Here is a 9,501-nt window from a genome sequence, read left to right as displayed (position 1 = left end):
TGCAACTCAGTGGTCAGTGAATCAGACTTCAAGGAGAGACTGCAAGGAGGAGAAGGTTCACAGAAATATAATAAAGTCAATTTTCACCTTTGGGATTATTTTATTAGGTTTAGCGTTCTATTCTTGAGATTTGTTATTAGCCAATGCTTATGGCAATGAATGAGTTAGATAACATTCAATGAGAAAATATGCAAAAAATTACGTGAAGAATTAAAATATCAAGATTATTTAGCACAGCATTTTGCTAATGGAAATACATGACTAATAAAAATAATTATCGGCCGGGCGCAGTGGCTCACGCCTGTAATCCCAGCACTTTGGGAGGCCGAGGCGGGTGGATCACGAGGTCAGGAGATCGAGACCATCCTGGCTAACAGGGTGAAACCCCGTCTCTACTAAAAAATACAAAAGCATTAGCTGGGCATGGTCGCGGGCGCCTGTAGTCCCAGCTACTCGGGAGGCTGAGGCGGGAGAATGGCCTGAACCCGGGAGGCAGAGCTTGCAGTGAGCCAAGATAGCGCCACTGCACTCCAGCCTGGGCAACAGAGAGAGACTCTATCTTAAAAAAAAAACAGGCCGGGCGCGGTGGCTCACGCCTGTAATCCCAGCACTTTGGGAGGCCGAGGCGGGCGGATCACGAGGTCAGGAGATCGAGATCATCCTGGCTAACACGGTGAAACCCCGTCTCTACTAAAAATACAAAAAATTAGCCGGGCGTGGTAGCGGGCGCCTGTAGTCCCAGCTACTCGGGAGGCTGAGGCAGGAGAATGGCGTGAACCCGGGAGGCGGAGCTTGCAGTGAGCCGAGATCGCGCCACTGCACTCCAGCCTGGGCGACAGAGCGAGACTCCGTCTCAAAAAAAAAAAAAAAAAAAAAAAAAAACAAAACAAAAAACAAACAAAAAAAATTATCACATAACAGAGAGATCTATCTAAGACTCTAAATTTAAGCCAAGAGATATAACATATCCACCAAAGAGACAGAAATAATCTAAGAGAAAAAAGTGAGACACTGTTTCTAAATAGTTTCTGAACAGTTTCTGAAATTGTAGGAATCTAACTGGGAAGAAACTTTAACTTTTTGTAAATGGAGAATCAAAGCCTCCCTAAGCATGTCTCCTGGCTACTGTCATCCTGGCCTGACTTGAATCAAAATCACAAGTGTCCTGTGTCTAGATAAGTCTTTCGATCAAAGCTCTACCTAGTGTTCTTGTCATTTCTGGTATGATTTCTTATATTTTTGCCCCTGGTTCATGCGTTATAAAGCAGGATATTGAAACGCTAATAAGTCTTTGGCTGAACTTTAGAATCACAGCAGTGACAGCAGCAAACATACCCTCCTTTGTTCTCTTTCTTGTGCTGAAGATACTGAAATATTCTTATCTGCCAGAGCCAAATCAGAGCCCTAACTTACCTGATAGCTGGAACTGCATCTTTCTTTTTTTATTATTCTTAACAGTGTGTACTTGTATTGAAGCATTACATGATAAAATAGATGGAAAAACACTCTTTGATATTCTTGAGAAAGATTTAGGAGCAAAAGTAATAGTCACTGAGGATGTAAAGTTTAAAGCAATAGTGAACAAGATAGGAAACATGAACACAATTAGGAGATATTGGTAGGATCTTGAAGGCTGAAGTTCAAATACAGTTTCTTGCACAAGGACAGCTGGATGTAGAGTCTCAATCCTTTAGTGGAAGTCTGACATAACCACTATCGGATTGTTGTTCAATCATTAATATCTTGGCGAAAACCCAAGTGGAACGTCTGCAGAAAAGTCTGGTCAAGGCTATTTCACACATTTGTTACAGATGCCCAGGCATGTCTTCATTTTGGTATGTCGTTCTTCTGTCCATACAAGCCACATGTTGAAAATACGTTGGGTCTTGATGCTTATCCAGACCTTCTACGTGCTAGGACTTAGGATAGAAAAATCAGCAAGGCATGGCTCTTACTTATAGCTTACTACTAAGAAACAAAACAGTTTACCATTAAAAACAAATTACTTATAGTTTGCCATTAAAAGCAAATTCCTTCTCTCTTTTGATAGCTTAGCAGAGTTCAGCATGTAAGAAATTTCTCAACAAAAGAACAGGCTATCAGACACTGTTCACCCTTCCTGAAAAAGCCACTTCTCAAACTAGGCATTGTCTACTAGTAATAGTCAAACAAGTGTTCCCTGTTTTCGACCCTATATATTTGAAGAGTAACAAAGGGATGGAGGTGTTGTGTACTGGCAGGCTGGCCACCACAGGGTATGAGGACTAAGAGGTGGGATGGTGAGAGCCCATAGATGTGCTGTATTAGTTTTCAGCTCCTACGGTCTTCCCCAGTAAATCCCATGTTCTAGCATCACTATGTGCTAGTGGTGTCTGACAGTAATCCCTATGCAAACTCAGGAGGGACACAGAGAAGTAAACAACCAACCCAGGGGGTGTTAAGGTAAAGAAAAAGCAATATTCTCCTTTTATTGCACAATGAAAACAAAACACTGATTTCATCTGCAATCTATGAGATGATTTCATGGAAGTTATGGTCATTAGGCTGAGCCCTGAAGGACAAGCAGAACTGGATAGAGGCAGAGAGAAGACATTGGGGTTGACGACAGGGGTTTGAGAAGGGTGCCGTGTGCCTTGTTGGTACTGTGGTCTGAATGTGTCCCCCTAATATAACCCATGTTAAAACTTAATCTCCAATGTAATAATATTAACAGATGAGACCTTTAGGAGGTGATTAAGTCATGAGGGTGGAGCCCAAGGGAGTGGGATTAGTGACCTTATAAAAGAGGTACAAAGGAGCTATTTATCCCTTCTATCTTTTTTGCCATGTGAGAAGACCTAGACAGCACCATCTATGAGGAATGGGTCTTCACCAGACATCAAATCTGCCAGTGCCTTTATCTTGGACTTCCCAACCCCTCTGGAACAGTTAAAAATAAATTTCTATTTTTTGTAAATTACCCAGTCTAGGGCATTTTATTATAGCCACACGAACGGACTAATACAGGTAGTGAGAAACCTGGTGGAGCTGGGATGTACGTGTTTTTAGTAGACTGGCTCTTTGCAGAGATCCAAGGGCATGGGAAATAAAACCTACATTGGTTTTTACCACAGCCCTCCTGGGAATACTCATGTCAATAGGACAGTTATCAATAGGGAATCCAGAACAGCTGAAATACATCTGAAATCTGTTGGAATATTTTTTCACTTCATAATGGTTTTCCACCTCTCCTTTAAAGTATTGCTTCCTTTAAAGGGGGGCAGCCTTGAGCTCCTGAATATTGCAATCACTCTGTTAAACATATATTTACTTCAATGGACACACTTTACTAGACATTCTCATAGTTTTGTTTAGTATTCAATGATATTAGATAGATCCTACTTCTCTTATAACAATTGGCTTTGTAAAGTCTAGGGTTTGAATTTGTTGATAAAGTATGTCTAAAGTCATTAGCATCAAGGGAGAAAGATTAGTTTCCTTTAGAATTTCTAAGAAAACACCTGTGTTCAGACACTACATAAAATACATCATTTCTCTGTGACATTGCATACTACAAAATTGTAAAGTAAGTCTTATTGATGTCACTGTTAGCAGTATAAATAAAGGGAAAAAAATGTTAAAAGTTATCCAATTACTTCATTGTAGCTTTTTCTCAAAAATGCACATACTGTTAACATAAGTTAGAATTGTAAATTTCAAGAAAAATTCTAGAAGTCAGGTGTTGACAGCTGTAGGTGTCTGAAAATGAAAATCTTAAAGACTGAGGTCAGGTCAATAATACAAATTTTATAGGAGAACACAATTTGAAATATTTTAATTTCTGTAGATAGGGCATGAGTTGGTTAGAAAAAGTGGGGGCAGGCTTATCACATTAAATTAAAAACGTGTGTAATGTTCTTTGTCACACTCATTTCAACTGCTTTAATTTTTTAAATACACAGCTGACTTTGACCTTCCCAAATATCCATTTTCAGAAGTTGGGGTAACTAGTTTTTCTAAATGGGCACTGGTAGGGCAAGGGGTAAGCATTATAATGTTCACCACAAATTTCTGTAATCAATTTTCAACCTAGAATTATTCATACAGCTTTTTTTCACATGAAGATTTAAAAAAGGACATTTTAGACAGCAAAAGCAAAAGCAATGCATTGCCAGCAACCTGTATCAAAAAAGTTAAAGAAATTTCTTCAGGTTGAAGGATAATAACACTTTATGGAAATTCGCATCTATACGAAGGAAGGTAGAACCATGGAAATAGTAGTTACATAAGTAAATGTATCAGAATTTGAAACATTTATTTTAAAGCTCAATAATCTATTCTTAAACTTTTTAATCTTAAGATACCTTTAACTCGTAGAAACCTTTTGGAATCCACAGAGGTTCACAAAGAGCTTTTTTTAATATATAAGTTATAGCTGCTAATACATTTAACATATTAGAAATGAAAACGGAGAAATATATATATTAAAGATAACAAGAATTCCATACATGTTTTAAAAATCTTTTTAAATAAATATAACTGTGTTTTTAAAACAAAAAAAAATTACTAGCAAAAAAGTGACACCGTATATCTTTGCAAATTTCTTTAATGTCTGACTTAAGAGGGGACAGTTAGATTCTCCTATTTTTGCATTCAATCTGTTACAATACCATATGTTATGTAGCCTCTGAAAATGCAAATATATGCTATGATAGCATGAAAGTAAAAATGTAAATAAGGTATTCTGAAAATAGTTTCAATCTCATAAACAGCGGAAAAGAGTTTTAGGGGTTTTAGGGATTTCAAGTATCACAATATAAAAAAATTATTTTAGATAAAAATAAAGAAGCAACAACAATAATGATAATATACTTTGGAGTTTAAAGCATACGTAGAAGGACAAAAGGCATATAGAATGGGAAGGAGGAAATTGAAGTACAATTTTGCAAGGTCATTACACTCTGCCAAAGCATTATAATACAATTTAAAAGTTAACCACCATAAGTCAAAAGTGTATATTAAAACTCTAAGACAGTCATACCAAAAAGAGTAAAAAATGAAGAGAGTTATAGCTAATAAACCAAGAGGGAAGATAAAAATGGAATACCCAAAAGCTAATTACTTGATCCCCAAAAAGGTAAAAAAAAAAAAAAAAGTGAAAAAAAGAAACAATAAAGAGATAGGGTACATAGAAAATAAATGGCAAGAAAGAGGTTAAACCCCAAAATAGTAGAAATTACATTAAATAAAAATTATGTTAAAAGTCCAGTTTAAAATAAACATAGTACGTCAGAATTTTTGTAAAAAGCAAGGTATTAAAACAATATTTTGAGTATAAGAGATAAGTGTTATACAAAAACACAGCGAAAGTATACCAAAAAAAGATGTATATACCATTGTAAATACTAATTATAACAAAATCCAAAAGATATACTGAGATTGAATAACATTTTCAAGACAACTATAAAAGATATTTAAGTAATGATAAAAGTTAATAAATCAAGAAGATTAAATGCTGTATATTTATAGATGTATATCTATTGTAGAGCTTTCACATACATGAAGAAAAAACTATGTCAAATAAAAGTAAAAAGATACAAGTCTACAATGGTAGTGGTAGATTTTAACAGTTTATCTCAAGTGTCATTATACGTTAGAACAATAAAAGCAATAAGGATTGAAAACATTTGAATAACCCAGTAACACTATCAACTAAAGTGACCTAATTGACCCTTATGAAACACTTTTACCCCAAAAGAACAGAATATGTATTTAAGTGCAAGAGTAACTATAACAGTGTTTTTAATAAATTTGAAAGATTGAAATTACATAGTATATGCTCTGTGACCAAACACCACCTAAATTAGGATTCACCAAAACTATCTGAAAAGTTTCCCAAATATTTGCTAATTGAAGAACAGAATTCCAAATTACACATGGGTCAAACAATAAATCACAAGGAACATTAGAAATGTTTTAATAAATGAAAAATAAATTAATACATATTAACTGTATGGAATGCAGCTGGAGCAGAACTTAGAAGAAAATAATATTTTTATCTCCTTATATGAATAACAATAAAAGATTTAAATCACTGACCTAAGTTTATATTTTAAGAATCTAAAAGAAGAACAGTACAATGTGAAGTAAGTAGAAAGAAGAAAATTGTAAATATGAGAGCAGAACAAAATAGAAAATAAGCAGTAAAGAACAATAAATAAGTCCTGGATTGGCAAGTAGGCAGCTCGCAGGTAAAAACCCTGCGAGTTTAGGTTTTTACCCCATTCCAACAGGTAAAAACCTAAACAAATGGAAAAATCAACTCTTCTTAGATCCATCTTAGAAGTGAGGTAACAGGGCAAGTGCTGCCCCTAATATTGTAGAGACAGAAAGATGAATACAGAGAATCAAAACTTTCCATATCAGAAGTTCATGAACAGAAACCTCTACAGGAGCTAGTACTGGCTTAGAAATACCCAAACTATAATTGACAAATTGCTGGAGATTCAGAATGAGCAAGGCTGAGACGAGGAAACAGTCAGAGGGGCCTCCCACATTTTTATGAGTTTTATTTCCAAGACCTCTGCCATGGTTCTCACCACGAAAATCAGAGAAAAACCCCCTCCTGTTACAGGCAGGGGAGAAAGCCAAGGAACCGTTGTGCCATGGTGCAGGGCATTCTTTTCTATTTAACAAGGCCAGCCTTCAAAAGAAACTATTGTAGGCACAGCCTCATCTATTGTGGTTTTATCAGAGACTGACTGGCCTAGGGTAAGGTAAATACCCAACTCTACCTCCTTGTAGCCAACCTGTACCCTCTAAGGGAGAAAAAAAAAAAAAAAAAAAAAAACTCTGAACAGCACTTTTGAAGTTCATAGCCGAGGGGCATAGGCTCACTAAAAGACCGGGAACTAATGATGAAACTATAAAAAGATTCCCTCATACTTTACCATTACATTATTCAAAACCTATTTGCCACAGTTCCTTTTACACAGTTTATTATGTCTGCTTTTACATGAAAAACTACAAGGCATACTGAAAGAGAGGGGGAAAAACACTGTTTGAAGAGGCAGAACAAGCATCAGAACCAGAACCAGATATAAAATGAACAGTGGAATTGTCAGATGATGAATTTAAAACAACTATGATTAATATTCTGAGGTCTTCTAATGGGTAAAGCAGACAGCAAAAACAGAAGGGTAATGTAAGCAAAGAGATGAAAATACTAAGAAAGAACCAAAAAGAAATGCTAGAGATGAGAAACACTGTAACAGAAATAAAGAATACCTTTCATGTGCCCACTGGTAGACTGGATACAGCTAAGAAAATAATCTCTTCGCTTTGTGATATGTTAATAAAGCCTACAAAACTGACAATCAAAGAGAAAAAAAAAGCTGAATAAAATGGGCCAAAATAAAATTCCAGAAAGAGAAGAACGAAAGGAATAGAAGAAATAAGTGAAACAGTAATGCCTAAGAATTTCCTCCAAATTAATGTCTGAGACCAAGCCATGATCCATGAAGCTCAAAAAACACCAAGCAGGATAAATAAATTAAAAAACTCTACACCTAAGTACATCATATTCAAACTGAAAAAAATTAGTGTCTTAGTCCGTCGTTCTCACATTGTTAATAAAGACGTACCTGAGACTGGATAATTTATAAAGGAAAGAGGTTTAACTGACTCACAGTTCAACATGACTTGGGAGGCCTCAGGAAACTTATAATCACAGCAAAAGGGGAAGCAAACTCATCCGTTTTCACATGGCAGCAGAAAGGAGAAGTGCTGAGCAAAAGGAGGAAGGCCCCTTAAAAAAAAATCAGATCTTGTGAGAACTCATTATCACGAGAACAGCATGAGGGTAACTGTCCCCATGATTCAATTACCTTCCACTGGTCCCTCCCATGACACATGGGAATTATGGGAACCACAATTCAACATGAGATTTGGGTGGGGACACAGCCAAATCATATCAATTAGATAGAGAAAAAAAAATTGAAAGACCCTAGAAGAAAAAAATCACCTTACATATAGAGAAGCAAAAGTAAAAATTACATTTAATTTCTCAGAAACCATGCAAACAATAAGATAGTGTAGTAAAATATTTAAAATGTTGAAAAAAACTCATCAAGCTACAATTTTGTACCCTGAGCAATCCTTCAAAAACAAAGGAGTCAAAATTTTTATCTTTTTGTATCATGTATTCCTTAACAACATATCATAGCTTTATTTTTTAATGTTTTGATTTTTAGCCTCCATACTACAGGCATGAATGATTTACATACCACCATTACAGTACTACAGTATTCTAAACTTAACTATATATTTAACTCTACCAGTGAGTTTCATTTTTTTTATGTGCTTATGATATCTTTTTGTTTTCACTTGAACAGCTCTCTTAAACTTTTTATGTAAAGCAGGTCTCGTGGTGATGAATTCCCTCAGCTTTTGCTTTTTAGGGAAAGACAATGTTGCTCCCTCATTTCTGAAGAAAAACGTGGCTGAGTATAGCATTCTTGGCTGTCAGGTTTTTTGTGTTTCCTTTCATGCACTTTGAATATATCCTTAAATTCTCCTCTGGCCTGCAAGGTTTGCTGAGAAATCCACTGATAATCTAATAGGAATTCACTTATATGTGACATGTTTTTGTTTTTTCTTGCATTTATTAAAATGTTCTCTTTGCCTTTGACTTTTTACAACTTGATTATAATGTGATTAAATCTGTTAGGGAAACTTTGAGCTTTATGAATGTGAACTTTATATCTCTCTCAAGACTTGCAAAGTTTTTAACAATTGTTTTAGATAAGTCTTCTGTTCCTTTATCTGTCTCTTCTCCTTTTAGAACTCCCATACTGCAAATAAGTGTATGCTTAATGGTGTCCCATAAGTCCATTAGGCTTTCTTCACTGTTTTTCATTCTTTTTGTTTTCTTTTCTTGTACCCTATGACTGAGTAATTTCAAAGGACCTGTTTTTAAGTTTACAGATTCTTCTGCTTGAGCTAGGCTACTGTAGAAGCTTTCTGTTGTATTTTTATTTAATTTTTTATTTAATTAATTTTTTTATAATTATTTCTTTAGCTTCAGGATTTCTGTTTTATGGTACCTATCTCTTTGTTAAATTTCTTATTAACATCATGAATTGATTTTCTGATGTCATTGAATTGTATATCTGTATTCTCTTGTGTCTCACTGACTTTCCTTAAGCATATTATTTTGAATTCCTTTTCAGACAATTTATAAGTTTCTGTTTTAGGGGGTTGGTTACTAGAGAATTCTGTTTCATTGGTGATATCATATTTTCTTTTTTTAAAAATGTATTTTTAAAAATATATCCTTATTTATTTATTTACTTATTTTTGTAGAAATGGGGCCTTGCTATGTTGCCCAGCCTGATCTCAAACTCCTGGCATCAAGTGATCTTCTCACCTTGGCCTCCCAAAGTGTTGAGATTACAGGCATGCCCCACCATGCCCTAGTCAGTTTTCTTGATATTTCATATTGTTTTATCTCTCTCTGATGAT

Source organism: Homo sapiens, chromosome 5, assembly GCF_000001405.40.
Source record: "Homo sapiens chromosome 5, GRCh38.p14 Primary Assembly".
Classification (NCBI taxonomy): Eukaryota; Metazoa; Chordata; class Mammalia; order Primates; family Hominidae; genus Homo; species Homo sapiens.
This window is presented reverse-complemented; position numbering follows the sequence as displayed.